This window comes from Homo sapiens, chromosome 4 (assembly GCF_000001405.40).
Source record: "Homo sapiens chromosome 4, GRCh38.p14 Primary Assembly".
NCBI lineage: Eukaryota > Metazoa > Chordata > Mammalia > Primates > Hominidae > Homo > Homo sapiens.
Genome location: NC_000004.12, coordinates 55504767 through 55521628, shown reverse-complemented (window position 1 = coordinate 55521628; position 16862 = coordinate 55504767). Strand labels below are relative to the sequence as shown.

At 38.3% G+C, this 16862-nt stretch overlaps 1 protein-coding gene across 16 annotated transcripts in view; it reads left to right on the top strand.

Moving 5' to 3' along the window:
* The window catches only part of CLOCK (clock circadian regulator), a 119007-nt gene that overhangs the window by 25281 nt on the left and 76864 nt on the right, over nucleotides 1-16862 (top strand). For 10 of the 16 annotated variants that reach the window (NM_004898.4, XM_017008854.2, XM_047416433.1 and 7 more), the window contains one exon: nucleotides 11564-11717. The exons of the other annotated variants lie outside the window; for them this stretch is intronic. The gene's annotated coding sequence lies outside the window, so the exon portion shown is untranslated. The remainder of the gene's footprint in view (nucleotides 1-11563; nucleotides 11718-16862) is intronic. 16 annotated transcript variants of the gene reach the window in all.

Genomic DNA, 16862 nt, shown 5'->3' with positions numbered 1-16862 from the left:
ATGGGGTGTTACCACCGTGGTATGGTATAACCATAGCAAGAATCAGAATTTTGAGAGTAGCAGCACACATCTAAAATCTATAAGGTGAGCTCTATAAAACATAGTAATTTGAGCCAGGTGTGTTGACGCACGCCTGCAGTCCCAGCACTTTGGGAGGCCAAGGCAGGTGGATCACCTTAGGTCAGGAGTTCAAGACCGGTGTGACTAACACGGTGAAACCCCGTCTCTGCTAAATACAAAAAATTAGCCAGGCGTGATGGCGCATGCCTGTAATCCCAGCTACTTGGGAGGCTGAGGCAGGAGAATCGCTTGAACCCAGGAGGTGTGGGTTGCAGTGAGCTGAGATCATGCCATTGCACTCCAGCCTGGCAACAAGAGTGAAACTCCATCTCAAAAAAACACAAAAAAAATAGAAATTTGAATTTATGTGACAGATTAATTAAGGGACACAAATTACTGTAGTTCCATTTAAAATTGAATTTTTTTCTAGTACATTTGAGAAAGAAACCATTTTACCAACGTTAAAATTGCACTTTTGTAAGAATATCTGTAAAAATATTGTAGACTGAAAAAACCGTGAGCATAGACTTGGAGGTGTGACAAAATTTGATGTATGTAGGGAATAGCAAGTAAATGGAAAAGGTTAAATCATGAGAGACTTGAAAGAGATAAGGCTGAACCTTGGGGACTAAATCTGGAGTTCACAAAGGAGTTGTTATAGGGAGCAATTTTTATATCTCAAGGAATTTGAGTGACATGATCAAATATGAATGTTAGAGTCTTCTGATATAAAGCAAGGGATGGATTCAAGAGGGCTGGTGCTGGAGGCAGGGGATGGGAGGAGGAATTTATGAAGATTAATTCCAGTCACAGAATTGGGAAAATTGTGAAGGAGTAAGGGAGAAAGAGTATTTAAAATACCTCTAAAATTTGTAGCTTGTATGAGTTTAACATTACCTCACTTTGTTTCCTTAGAACTGAACCTTAGTATTAAAAAGATTTGGGAGGGAGAAAAACCCTGTATGTCTACTGTGGATTTATTTATTTTAAATGTATATTGTAAAATTAATATAAATTTGAAGCTGTGGGATACCTGTGTCAACAGTCTGTTTTGCCTCAGGTGTTGTTTTCTAGGAGTAGTTCATACTACAAAAGCAGATCCTCATAATGCCATTTTTGGAGTTGAATTTTCACCAGTTCATCTGCATATTAGGGGAAACTATTGCTGTTAGTAAATGAGGTGTTGATGACCCTTGGATACAGTTGGCATTGTAATTCTAAAGCTTTCATCTGTAATTAATGGGAGTGAGGCTCATAGAAGTCAAGGTTTTGGGAGAAAACAGATACTTCACTTGATCGGTGTGGGGGCAGTGATAATTTTAAGGATTGTGGTATGAGGTTGTTTTTGTTGGTGGCCTTAAAAAAGTGGTTAGATTTAGCACAACTAATTGCCAATTTAAGGCATACTGTGGAACCCAGAGGGCTTCTATGACAGTTTTATAGGATAACAGAATCTTATCCTGTTGACTTCAGGGAGACTATGCTAAAATGTTGGCCTTGAATCGGATTATTAAGGTGATACAACTGCAGAGAAGACTAAATATGCAACCTTTGCAGGTGTTGTGTGTCTAAGTCAGGGCCCTAATAGGGAAAGAGTGGATCCCTGTACTTCAGAATTTTTAATCCTACAATTCATGCTGAAGCTTCCTGGCAAGGAGAAGCATCCCATTTCCCTTTGGCAGAGGAAAGACCCCCTGCCACCCCTCCTGTCATCATTGCTTGAAGACTGTGCAGTGACCCCATAAATGTTCAATGATGTTTATTTATTTTTATTTTTATTTTTTATTTTTTTGAGGCAGATTTTTGCTCTGTTACCCAGGCTGAAGTGCAGTGGCCAATCTCGGCTCACTGCGGTCTCCGCTTTCCGGGTTCAATTGGTTCTCCTGCCTCAGCTTCCTGAGTAGCTGGGATTACAGAAGTGCACCACCACGCCCGGCTAATTTTTGTATTTTTGTATTTTCACCATGTTGGTCAGGCTGGTCTCGAATGCCTCAACTCAGGTGATCTGCCCACCTTGGCCTCCCAAAGTGCTGGGATTACAGGCATGAGCTACCACGCCTGGTCCAATGACATTTATTCTTAAGATCTGCCTCTACTATGACTCATTATCCTCTGGTTAATAACTATAGTCAGGGTCTTAGCACATCCCAAGAAGAGAATTACAAGCCCTGCTCTGGAAAGAACTATCCTATATACAAAAAGAATTGCAGGACTGCAGGCTCAGTGGCTTGCACCTACAATCCCAGTGCTGTGGGAAGCCAAGGCAGGAGGACCACTTGAGGCTAGGAGTTTGAGACCAGCCTGGGCAACATAGTGAGACCTTGTCTTTACAAAAAACTTTTTTTAAAAATTGGCTGGGTATAGTGGTTTGTGCCTGTAGTTCTAGCTGCTCCAGAGGCTGAGGCGGGAGGATCACTTGAGCCCAGGAGTTTGAGGCGGTAGTCAATTATGATTGCTCCATTGCACTCCAGCCTGGGCAACAGAGCGAAACCCTATCAAGTAAAAGTAAAATAAAATAAAATTGCAGGACTTGAATAATAAGCATCTGGAGAAACCAAGGAAACAGGTATGAGAATGTTTTGAAAGGTGTTGGATTGGGTGGGGGGCAGAATATAAGGTTAGCTTGAGGAAAATGTATTGACATGAGGGTACTCATTGATGATCTGGGATTCAGTGTCATCCAGGGGCATTGGAACTGCCTCTTATAGCTTGTCGGTTGTCTTAGTCCATTTGGCTGCTGTAACAAAGTATCTTAGTCTGAGTAATTTATAAGCAACAGAAATTTATTGTTTTCAGTTCTAGAGACTGGGAAGTCCAAAATCAAGGTGCTAGTAGATGCAGTATCTGGTGAAGGCCCATTCTGGTGCCTTGTTGCTGTGTCCTCACATGATGGAAAGGGAGGGGAACAAGCTCCCTCAGGCCTTTTATAAGGGCACTGATCTCATTGATGAGGGTGGAGCCCTCATGACCTAATCACCATCCAAAGGCCCCATGTCTTAATACTGTCACATTGGGGATTAAGTTTCAACATAAGAATTTTGGAGGGGCACAAACATTTAGACCATAGCACTGATATAGTTCTTTGAAGTCTGAGCACAATGAATGTCTACAGTCAACCTTTTAAGCAAAGATAGTGTCATGAGGAAAACAATAAATATTTGGCATTTTTGTTTAGGGATTAATACCCTGTGGGAAAATCTTTGCCAGATCTCTTATGTCTCTTTAGCACTGGTCAGATAAATTCTCCCCGTCCTCTCTCCTCTGCATTTACCCCAAATAGGCCAGTTTTCTCATGGCTCTGCATAGCTTGGTAATGTCATATTTCACGTTTGCTTTGTCTCCTTATCTGCCTTATTTAACTTTCTCTTCATATCCTGACATTATACCCTCCCTTCCCTAAGTGTCAGCTTATAATTTTTGCCTCAGGTTATCCTTTTAAAGCTGAAACAATAGCTCCCAAACTTCTATGACCACAACTCATAGTAAGAAATATATTTTATGTTATGACCTAGTACACTCATACACACATATCTGAAACAACAGTTTCAGGAAATACCCTTTACCATAACTAGGTGTCCTGCGATCCGACTCCCCACCCCCCACCATGTTTCATTTTTAAAATGCTGGTTATAACCCCTATATTTCTGTACCAAAGGGTAAAAACATTTGTAATTTTGTTAAGGGTATTGACATAATGTTCTCTATAAAGTTTATATCAATTTATACTCCCACCAGCAATGTATGAGAGTAATGAAAAAGCCAACATTCTACTACTACTATCCCATAACCATTAAGCAAATTGATTTTGTAATTCTGAAACTCCCCAAAAAGATATCTCTAGGCCCAGTTGGTTTCACTGCAGAGTCTAATCTACATAGTCTCTTCTAAAAAACAGAAGAGAAGGGAACATTTCAAGTATTATCCTGATACTGCAACCAGACAAAGGCAGAACAGAAACAACAAATTAAAAACCAATATTCTTTATAGAGACACAAAAATCCTTAACAAAATATTAGCAAATAGAATTCAGCAAAATATAAAAATAATCTTCTGTGTTTTGAGACAGAGTCTGGCTCTGTTGCCCGGGCTGGAGTGCAGTGGCGTGATCTCGGCTCACTGCAACCTCTGCCTCCCGGGTTCAAGTGATTCTCCTGCCTCAGCCTCCTGAGTAGCTGGGACTACAGGCCCGTGCCACCACACCCGGCTAATTTTTTGTATTTTTAGTAGAGACAGGGTTTCACTGTATTAGCCAGGATGGTCTCGATCTCCTGACCTCATGATCCGCCCACCTCGGCCTCCCAAAGTGCTGGGATTACAGGTGTGAGCCACCGTGCCCGGCCAAAAGAATCTTACACTATAGTAATCACATGGAGTTTATTCTAGGGATACATGGCAGGTTAAATATTCAAAAATCAGTGTGATCCACCACATTAACAGGCTTAAGGAAAAATCATTATCTTTTTAACTGATGGTTTGTCCAAAATAATGTTATCAACAGTGTATTCAATTATGTATGCTTATATATACACGTATGTATGTATGCGCTTATGTAAAAGTGAAATGAATGACAGGAATGATACAAAGGATAGGAGGGAGGTATTAGGATTATTACGTGGTACTTGTACTACCCATAAAGTGGTTTAGTGTTATTTGAAAGTAGACTTAGATTAGTTGTAAATGTGTATTGTGAACTCCAGGGCAACTACTAAAAAAAGTAAAACAAAAAAGCAAAAAAGTATACCAAGAAAGGAGAGGAAAATAGAATCATGTAAAACTACAACAGGCAGAAAAAGACTGGAAGACTAAAATAGGAATAAAGAACAGAAAGCAATCACAAATATGGTAGCTAGTAATCTAACTGTATCAATGATCACTTTAAATGTTAGTGATCTCAGCACACCAATTAAAAGACAGTGCCAGAGTGGATGAAAAATCAAGGCTTAACTTTATGTTGTCTACCAAAAAAACCCACTTTAAATATAGATACATAGATTAAAAGAAAATGGATGGAGAAAAATACAATATGCTAACACTAACCGAAAGAAAGCATGAATAGCTATATTAATTTCAGACAGAGCAGCTCTCAGAGCAAGGAAGTTATCCGGAATAAAGAGGGGCATTGCATAAATAATGATAAATGGGTCAGTTCTCCAAGAAGATATAGTAGTCCTAAACATCTGTGCAGCTAACAGTGGAGCATGTAAGTATGTGAGGCAAAAACAGAACTGCAAGGAGAAACAGATTAATCTGCTCTTATAATGGAGACTTTAATACCCCATTATCAGAAATGGACAGATGTAGCGGGCAGAAAACCAGTAAAAACATAGATGAATTCAACAGTGCTGTCAAACAACTTGATATAATTGACATCTATAGACTACTTCATCCAACAACAGCACAATACACATTCTTCTCAAGCCTACATGGAACACTCACCACAAGAGACAACATTTTGGGCCATAAAACACCTTAACAAATTTAAAAGAATAGAAATCAGACAGTATCTGTTCTCAGACCACAATATAATTAAAGTAGAAATCAGTAACAGCTGGAAAATCCCCAAATACTTGAAGATTAAACAACACATGGGTCAAAGATTCTCAAGAAATCTATTAAAAAAATTTTTATTTTCATCTTTTTTTGCCACACTACACTGATGTATCAAGAGAAATCTAAAAATGTTTTGAACTAAATGAAAATGAAAACAACTTAACAAAATATGCGGGATGCAACAAATGGAATGCCTAGAGGGAAATTTATAGCGTGGAATACATAGAAAAGAGTAAAGATCTAAAACCAAAGTTTCTGCCTTAGGAAACTACAAAAAGTAGAGCAAATTAAATACAAAGTAAGCAGAAGAAAGGAAACAATAAAAATTAGAGCAGAGGCTGGGCGTGGTGGCTCGCGCCTGTAATCCCAGCACTTTGGGAGGCAGAGGTGGGTGGATCACGAGGTCAGGAGATTGAGACCATCCTGGCTAACACGGTGAAACCCCGTCTCTACTAAAAATACAAAAAATTCAAAAAATTAACCAGGCATGGTGTCAGGCGCCTGTAGTCCCAGCTAATTGGGAGGCTGAGGCAGGAGAATCGCTTGAACCCGGGAGGCGGAGGCTGCAGTGAGCCGAGATTGTGCCACTGCACTCCAGCCTGGGTGACAGAGCAAGACTCCATCTCAAAACAAACAAAACAGCCAGTGAAATGGAAAATAAGAAATCATAGAGAAAATCAACAAAACCAAAAGCTGGTTCTTTGAAGAGATTAATAAAATTGATGTGCTTCCAGCTAGGCTAACTAAGGAAAAAGGATACGCTAATATTACTAATAGAAGACATGAAAGTAGAAATCATAACAGATTTCCATTTATATTAAAAATATAAAGGAATATTATGAACAACTCTGTGCCCACGAATTTGATAACCTAGATGAAATGGACCAATTCCTTGAAGGACGCAATCTGCCAAAAGTCATACAAGAAGTAGACAATCTGAATAGGCCTATATCTATTAAATTGAGTCAACAATTATTTATAATCTTTTAAGATAGAAATCACCAGGTCCAGATGGGTTCATTGGTGAGTTCTAATTCTACCAAACATTTAAGGAAGAAATTACACCAATGTTAACATTCTCTTTTGCAAGACAGAAGCAGAGGGAATACTTTCTAACTTATTCTGTGAGGCCAGTATTACTCTAATCCTAAAACCAGACAAAGATATTGCAAGAAAAGAAAACTGTAGACCAATATCTCTTATGAACATAAATGCAAAAATCCCCAACAAAATATTAGCAAATCAAATTCAACATTTATAAAATGAACTATATGCTGTGATCAAGTGGGATTTATCCAAGGCATGTAAGAAATTAATCCATTACATTAACTGGCTAAAGAAAACCAAATCATATGATCATATCAATAGATGTTTAAAAAACATTTGACAGAACCCAACACCCATTCATGATTTAAAAAAAAACTCTGTAACTGTAAAACTTGGAATAGAGAGAAACTTCTTCAACTTGAGAAAGAACATCTATTAAAAAAATCTACAGCTCAGCAAAGTGGGGGGGGGATAAAAATGTTCTAAAATTAGATTGTAGTGATAGTTGCACAACTCTGTAAATACACTAAAAAATACTGAATTGTAGGTTTTAAATGGGTGAGTGTTATAGTATGTGAATTGTGCTTCAGAGTGGTAAATAATAATTTTTTCAAAAGAGGTAAGGGGACATAACAGCCTAAATGCAGTAAAGAGCGTCACTGAATTAGGTGTTGGTATTGGGATATGAATGGAAGATTAAAAGTATTTTATGAATGTGAGAATAAAACTATAGCTAACGTTTTATGTAATGGTGAGAATCTAGAACTTAAGATTCCCAGTAAGATCAGGAACAGGATAAGGATGTCCCGTTTTACCACTCCTTTTCACATCATACTGGAAGTTCTAGCTAATGCAGTAAGATAAAAAAATGAAAAGAAATGTATACTGATTGGGAAAGAAGAAATAAAACTCATTTTGTTTGCAAGATGATATGATTGTCTATGTAGAAGATCCAAAAGAATTGACAAACTGGAACCAATAAGCACAAGGTAGCAGGATACAAGGTTAATATGCAAAAGTAGATTATATTCCTATATACCAGCAGTGAACAAGTGGAATTCTAAAATTAAAAACACAATACCATTACATTAATATCTCCCAAAATAAATACTTAGGTATAAATCTAATAAAATATATATAAAATATGTACAAAGAAAACTTCAAAACTCTGATAAACAATAACTAAATAACATGTTCATGGATAGGAAGACTATATTAACAAGGTGTCAGTTCTTCACAATTTTATTTGTAGACTGAATATAATTCTAGTCAAAATTGCAGTTTGTTGTAGATATTAACAAACTGATTCCAATAAGTTTATATGGAGAGGCAAAAGACCCAGAATAGGCAACTTAAAATTGAAAGAAAAGAACAAAATTGGAGATCCAACATTGCCTGACTTCAAGACTTACTTTACAACTACAGTCATCAAGCAGTGTGGTATTGGTGAAAGCATAGACAAATATTTTAATAGATCAGTGGAACAGAATAGAGAGACCAGGAATAGATCCACATCAGTACAGTCATGTGTCACTTAATGACAGGGATACATTCTGAGATGAGAAATGCATTGTTGGATGATTTTGTCATTGTTCAAATAACATAGAGTATATTTACACAAACTTAGATGTATAGCCTGCTCTGCACCTAGGCTGTATGGTGTAGCCTACTGTTACTAGACTGTACAGCATGTTAACTGTAGTGAATACTATAGGTAATTTTAATATAACAGTAAGAGTTTGTGTATCTGAATGTAGAAAAGGAATGTAAACATACAGTTTAAAAGATGATGGTATACTTTATATAGAGTACTTACCATGGAGCTTGTTGGGCTGGAAGTTGCGTAGGGTGAGTCAGTGAGTGAGTGATGATTGAATGTGAAGGCTTAGGACATTAGGGTACACTACTGTAGACTTTATATACACTGTACACTTAGACTACACTAAATGTATTTAAAAAGCAATTGCATTACAATGTTATGAATGGCTACAACAGCTATAAAGTCACTAGACAATAGGAATTTTTCAGCTCCATATTATAATTTTATGGGACCACTGTCATATATACGGTCTGTCCTGAAACATTGTTAATGCAATTCATGATTGCATAGTCAACTAATGGTTCACAGAGGAACAAAGACAATACAATGGAGAAAAGATAGTTTTCAACAAATGGTACCGGAGCAACTGTCTATGTGCAAAAAAATGAATCTCGACAGACCTTATACCCTTCATAAAAATTAACTCAAAATGGATCAGAGACCTAAATGTAAATTGTAAAAGTATAAAACTCCTAGAAGATAACGTAAGAGAATATCTAGATGACTGGGTTTGGCAGCGAGTTTTTATCCTCAACATCAAAGACGTATTCCGTGTTAGAAAAAATTAAATTTAATTAAAAATGTCTGCTCTGTGAGAGGTACTTATCAAAAGAATAAAAAGACAAACCACAGACTTGAAGATATTTGCAAAAGACATATTTGATAAAGGACTTTTATCCAAAGTACACAATGGACTCTTAAAACTTAACAGTAAGAGAACCAACAAACCAGTTAAAAAATGGGCCAGGTACACTGACAGATAACCTTACCAAAGAAGATATACAAACCTCAAGAAGCATGTGAAAAGATGCACTATATCATCTGTCATCATGGAAATGCAAATTAAAATGAGATACTACTACATACATATTTGAATGGTGAAAATCCAAAATACTAACTACATCCAGTGCTGGTGAGGATGTGGAACAACAGGAACTCTCATTCATTGCTGGTTAGAATGCAAAATGGTACAGCCTCATTGAAAGGCAGTTTGGCAGGTTCTTACGAAACTAAACATAGTCTTACCATATGATCTAGCAACCAAAGAATTGACAGTTTCTATCCATACAAAAATCTTTATATGGAAGTTTATAGCATCCTTTTCAATAATTGCCAAAACTTGGAAGCAACCAAAATGTCTTTCATTATGTGAGCGGATAAACTGTGGTATATTCAGACAATGGAATATATCATTCAGTGCCAAAAAGAAATTATCAAGCCGTGAAAAGACATGGAGAAATCTTAAATGTGTATTTACTAAGTGAAAGGAGCCAGTCTGAAATGGCTACTACATATTGTATGATTCCAACTTCATGACATTCTGGAAAAGGCAAAATTATGGAGGTAATAAAAAAATGAATGTGGTGTAGGGGTTAGTGAGGGGAGGGATGCATATGCAGAGCACAGAGGGCTTTTAGGCCGATGAAACTATTCGGTGTGATATGATAGTGGATGCATGCCATTATGTTTGTCCAAATTCATAAAATGTACAGCACTAAGAGTGAAGCCTAAAATTTTGGGTGATAAGGATGTGTCAGTGTAGGTTTGTCAGTTGTAGTAAATGTACCACTCTGGTGGGGAATGTTGAATATGGGGAAGGCTGTGCATTAATGGAGTCAATGGGAAATCTCTGTACTTTACCCTCAGTTTTTTATGTGGACCTGAAACAGTGGTATTAAATTAGAAAAGCTAAAGGAACCAAATTAATGTTCTAAAGTCTTTTTTTGTTGATATTTGAGCAGTACTTTTCTGAAAGAAGAGTCACTAAAGTGCTTTCAATATTGTGTCAAGAAGTATTGTTGACATTTCTTGTTGTCAGTACAAGAAAATTAATAGCCATGATTGGACTGTGTCATTAAAATTAGATAGATAGGATAATGAAAGCACTTGCTTGATAGTGATGTTGTGAGGATTGAATAAATATATGTCAAGTGCTTAAAACAGGGCTTTACACATAGTAAAGTGCTTAGTAATTGTTAATTATTAGTTGAGAATTGTGATGAGACTTTTTTCTCATTCTGCACAATGGACGCTTGATGATCAGTTGATTCTTTTATCCATCCATGGCAAGGTCAGCTATTGGCCCAGGGCAGTCATTCCTTGGGCTCTTGCAAAGGTCCCCTGAAATTCCTCTCTAGGAACTTTTAGTTTCCTGCTTAGAATTTCAGAATGGCTAGTATATTGCAGTCAAGTGGTAAGGGTTTAAAATGGGCTCTGCCTTTAGCCCTGTGTGATTCAGGGCAAATTGCTTCACCTTTTGCTTTCTTTCTTTGCCCATCTTGTCTCAGGAAATGCCCTTTCTCATTTCCTGTTTCATTCTGAACATCTACATTGGACTTCTTTTACTTCCACACAAATGTCATATTTTCACCTACACCTAGCCATTTGAACACACTGTTCCCTTTGGACAAAAAATTTTCTTTCTCACCTCTTCCCTCTTGCTTTATTTGGCTAGATCATACACATTCTTGCATTAAATTCTCTTCCTTTAGGGAAACCTTTTTTTTTTTTTTTTTTTTTTTTAAAAAGACAGAGTCTTGTTCTGTCGCCCAGGCTGGAGTGCAGTGGCGCAATCTCGGCTCACTGGAACCTCCATCTCCCGAGTTAAAGCTATTCTCCTGCCTCAGCCTCCCTAGTAGCTGGGATTATAGGTGCATGCCACCATGCCTGGCTAATTTTTGTATTTTTAGTAGGGACGAGGTTTCACCATGTTGGCCAGGCTGATCTTGAACTCCTGGCTTCAAGTGATCTGCCTGCCTCGGCCTCCCAAAGTGCTGGGATCACAGGCATGAGCCACCGCACCCGTCCCAGGAGAACTTTTCTAACCAATTTCCAGCAAACTGGTTTGTATCTCTGTTATGCTTTCCCTTCACACCATCGTGATTTTTCAAACTTTTTGTCCCATTTACGGTTGAGTTCCCAGAGGGGTTGATGAGATCTGATCTATTTATTGACACATTCCCAATTCTTGGCACGTAGAGGAGGCTCGCAATAAATGTTCTATACGTCGATGAAACAAAAATACTAGTGATAATAATGTTACTTAAATTGGTTAGCATTATTTCAGTAAGTACTGTTTCTTTGCAGAATTTTTACTTGTTCCTGCAAAGCTGCTGGAGCTCAGAAGCTGATTCTATCACATTGTAAGATGCCTTTGGATAATTCTACAGTCCTCTTAAATGAATCTTTAGAACTTGGCAAGTCTCACTAGATACCTTCAATCATCATTTTGAGCTCAAAGGTATGCTATCTTTGTTTCTTTTCCCTTAATCATGGTTGGGTGGAATTTGCAGTGTACCGGTGGAAGCATAGGACAAGGAATTATAAAAATACTTGGGTAATGATCTGCTACTTTCCTTGGCAGCTTTTATTTATCTTTAGAATTTTCATTCTTATGAGGAGTAAGAAGGTTATTTATTGGGAAAAATAATTGAAATCCAGATGTAAAGTATTTTAGCAATTCCTGAAATTTCTCAAAACTAGTGCTCAAAAGTAAGAGTCATAACTTACCTTTTCCTGAGTTTAAGGAAGATGATTTGCAAATGACTGAAAGTCGAGTAAGAATTATTTCCTGCCAGGCCTTAGCTATAGAGATAAAGTGTCAGCTGACTGAGGTAAAAGAAGAGCCAGACTGCAGCTCCTCTTTACAAGCAGGCCTTCACTGGGGTCTGCACACCACCAAATTTATTCAGCCTGGTGCCTGCTTTGGTATGACTCATGAGCTAAGAGTGGTGTTTGCATTTGTAAATGGTTGAAAAAAAATCTCGAAGACTAACTTGTGACACGTGAAAGTTATATGAAATTTAATTTTTAGTGTTTATGAGTAAAGCTTTATTAGAACATTAGCCATTCTTATTTTTTAGGTTTTGTGTATGACTGCTTTTAGGCTATAGCAGCAGTTAAGTACAGTCATGCATTACATGGTCAGTGATGGACCAAATATACGACAGTGGTCCCATGAGATTATAATGGAGCTGAAAAATTGCTATTGCCTGGTAACATCATGGCCATCATGTCATCATGGCACAACCCATTACCTTTTCTATGTTAAGATATGTTTAGATACTCAAATACTTATATTGTGTTACAGTTGCCTTGAGTATTCAGTACCATTGCATGCTGTGCAGGTTTGTAGCCTAGGAGCAATAGGCTATTCCAGATCGTCTAGGTGTATAGTAGGCTATACCATCTAGGTATAGAAATAGTCTGTGATGTTGACACAATGACAGATTGCCTGTGCATTTCTCAAAATGTATCCCCACGACATATGTCTGTAGTTACAGCAGAGACCCCAGCACTTTGGGAGGCCGAGGCAGGCAGATTATGAGGTCAGGATATCGAGACCATCCTGGCTAACACGGTGAAACTCCGTCTCTACTAAAAATACAAACAATTAGCCAGGCGTGGTGGCAGGCGCCTGTAGTCCCAGCTACTCAGGAGGCTGAGGCAGAAGAATGGCGTGAACCCGGGAGTCGGCGCTTGCAGTGAGCCGAGATCATGCCACTGCACTCCAGCTTGGGCAACAGAGCAAGACTCCGTCTCAAAAAAAAAAAAAAAATTTACCCGTGTGGCCCTTTACAGAATAAGTTTAGCTGATCCTTGCTCTACATGGCTGAAGGAGTATTTATAGATTTGAGTGCTATGGTTTAAGAGATGAATTGGGGGGAAATTAGAGAGAGATAGGAGTCCATGCCAATTCTCAGTGACTTAATTATACTTTTTTCTTTAGTGGAAAGTATTACACATATTCTAATTATATTGACCTGTGTCATTTTAAAATAGTAAATCAGGGGAAATGGATTCTTCTATTATTTTTATTCTAAAATGAATATGTGGGAATATGTAGAAAGAAAATTAGTATGCTGCTCTGTTTTTAACCAAGTTTTAATGTTACTATAATACCTTACATACCTAACATCTTAAGTACTTAAAAGATTAGTTGATGACTGACTCAATGAAACAAAAGTAGTTCATTGGAGATGAAAGTACACTGTCCCTTTGGAGTCAATGGATAGGCCTAAAGGATATGGTTAAGTAACTCTTTTGTAGTCAGACACAGGCAGGTTAAGTACTATATTAGGAGATAGAAGACCATAATTTTTGTGTTTACCTTCTTTGTCCCTTGAGAACACTTAGTTATGTGACTCGGGGCACATTTACCACTCTGAATCTAATTGCTTCATTTCCAAATTAGGGAAAACTAATACCTTTACTGTCTGAAAACAGGAGTCTTGGTGGTTTGCTAAATTACCAGTTTCCTAAGAGTGGGTTCTGTGCCTTTTTAGCTCACCACTGGATTTCTCAACTCCACAGTTAGCATAGGCCTGGCACATATTTGGCACACAGTAAGTGTCCAGTGAAAGAACAAGGTATGTGCCAGTTCCAATAACTGTTATGTCTATGCATGATCAAAATCATTCCCCATTCTTTAAAGGTTTGCTTATTGAGACTGGGTGTTTTTGTTAACTGGAGGAGAGAATTTTGATGAAAATAGTAATTTTCTGTAGATCCTTTTTTAAAAAGTTATTTTATTTATTTATTTTAGAGACAGAATCTTGCTCTGTCACCCAGGCTGGAGTGCAGTGGTGCTCTCTTGGCTTCAACCTCCACCTCCTGGGTTCAAGTGATTCTCGTGCCTCAACCTTCTGAGTAGCTGGGACTACAAGCATGCGCCACCATGCCTGGCAAATTTTTGTATTTTTAGTAGAGATGGGGTTTTGCCATGTTGGACAGGCTGGTCTTGAACTCCTGACCTCAGGTGTTCCCCCAACCTCAGCCTTCCAAAGTGTTGGGATTACAGGTGTGAGCCACCATGCCTGGCTCCCCCCTACCTTTTTTTCTTTTTGAGACACGGTCTTGCTCTGTCACCCACGCCAGAGTGCAGTGGCATGATCTCAGCTCACTGCATCTCCCAGGCTCAAGCGATCGTCGCACCTTAGCCTCCTGAGTAGCTGAGACTATAGGTGCATACCACCATGCCCAGCTAACTTTGTTTATTTTTTGTAGAGATGAGGTTTCACTATGCTGCTTAGGCTGCTCTAGAACTCCTGGACTTAAGTGGTCCTTCTGCCTCAGCCTCCCAAAGTGCTGTGATTACAAGCATGAGCCACCGTGCCCAGCCTAGGTCCATTTTCTGCAGATACCAATCAAATCATTGGCCAAATTTATTTGTATAAATTGATTGTATATTGCTATTTAATAGAGAGAATATAAACCTCTAATCTAAGAATTGCTGATCTCAAAGAAACCTGGAAACCTCCTCATTATAAAGCTTTAAAATGTATATACTATAGACCGGGCGTGGTGGCTCACGCCTGTAATCCCAGCACTTTGGAAGGCCGAGGTGGGTGGATCACCTGTGGTCAGGAGTTTGAGACCAGCCTGGCCAGCGTGGTAAAACCCCATCTCTACTAAAAATACAAAAAATTAGCCAGGTGTGGTGGCGGGAGCCTGTAATCCCAGCTACTTGGGAGGCTGAGACAGAGAATTGCTGGAACCCGGAAGGCAGAGGTTGCAGTGAGCCGAGATTACACCAGCCTGGACAGAGCGAGACTCCATCTCAAAAAAAATTAAAAAAAATAAAATATAAAATAAAATAAATACCATATGCTAAAAAGCCACTCTTGAATAGGAAGATTTATGTATTTTTTTTATTTAAGTCTTCTGAACTTTTCGCAGCTCTTACACTGAACCTCTTTTTTTAATGGAACTTCCCTATATGGTTTTTTTTAAGAATTCCACTTTTAAAATCTTATCTTGCAGGATACCATGTAAAGATAAGATTGTTTAAAAGGTATTTAGCAGAAGCCGGGTGTGTTGGTATGCACCCCTAGTCCCAGCTACCCAGGAGGCTGAGGCAGGAAGATCATTTGAACCTAGGAGTTCAAGACCAGCCTGGGCAACATAGTTAGGCCCTGTCTCAAAAAAACAAAACAAAAGATATTTACTGAAAGAAAAGTGTTTCAGCTTAAAGAAGTCTGGGTAGACATGACAGCTAAATGCAGTACATGACCCTGGATTGGATTCAGTATTGGAAGAGGGAAAAAGTCTTGGAGGGCAGTTTTTGCTCAACTAAAACAAAAAAAGAGAGAAAATAGGCATTACATTAAGATACTGTATAACTGTTAAGTTTCCTGAAGTTGGTAACTATACTGTAGATATTTAAGAGAATATCCTTGTTGTTAGGAGGTATAGTTGAAGTATTTAGAGGTAAAAAGGTATGATATGTGCATTTTACTTTCAAATGGTTCAAAAAATATGTTTATGTATGATATGGACAATAATGCAAAATGTTGACAGTTGGTCAACAGGATTGTTGTTGACAGTTGGTCAAATCAGGATAAAGGATATGTAGAAGCTCTTTGAACTATTCTTAACTTTTCTGCATGTTTGAATGATTTCCAAGTATAAAGTTTAAGAAACATGTTTAGCAGCTATGTATAAAACTGGAAATTACATCCAGTTAATTTTATTTTTTATTTTTTATTTTGAGACAAGGTCTTGTTCTGTCACCCAGCCTGGAGTGCAGTGGTGCAGTCACAGCTCATTGCAGCCTGGACTTCCAGGGCTTAGTTGATCCTCCTGCCTCAGCTTCCCAAGTAGCTGAGACCATAGGCACGTGCCACAACACCCAGCTAATTTTTGTATTTTTAGTAGATAAGGGGTTTTGCCATGTTGCCCAGGCTGGTCTTGAACTCCTGAGCTCTAACGATCTGCCTGCCTCCGCCTCCCAAAGCGCTGGGATTACAGGTGTGAGCCACCTTGCCTGGCTACTGTTACTTTCAAATTAACATTTATTTCCATTAAAAATACACTTAGAGTATTGCAATAGGACTGCTTAAAAAATATAGTCCCCTTTTTTTTTCAAACTGCTTTTACATATACTTTGTTTACATGATGGTACTGTTATTGAAAAGAATTTTTTTGTTTGGTGGCGTATCATTATGTGATCACAAGTATAAGTATTTCTTGTTCTGTGATTTTTTTTTTTTGGTGGGGGGGTGAGGGGGACAGAGTCTTGCTCTGGCACCTAGGCTGGCATTGTCTCAGCTTACTGCAACCTCTGCCTCAGCCTTCTGAGTAGCTGGGACTACAGGTGTGTGCCACCATACCCGGCTAATTTTTGTATTTTTAGTAAAGACAGGGTTTCACTATGTTGGCCAGGCTGGTCTCGAACTCCTGACCTCATGATCCGCCTTCCTTGGCTTCCCAAAGTGCTGGGATTACAGTGTGAGCCACTGCGCCTGGCCTGTTCTGCGATTCTTTGCTGGATTTAATAAGTTTATGACTTAAGTTTTATAAAATAGGTTTAATTATTTTATAGTAATATGGTAATGAAATGAAATACAACTTTGCAAATGTAAAAAATACAATGCAAAGATGAGCT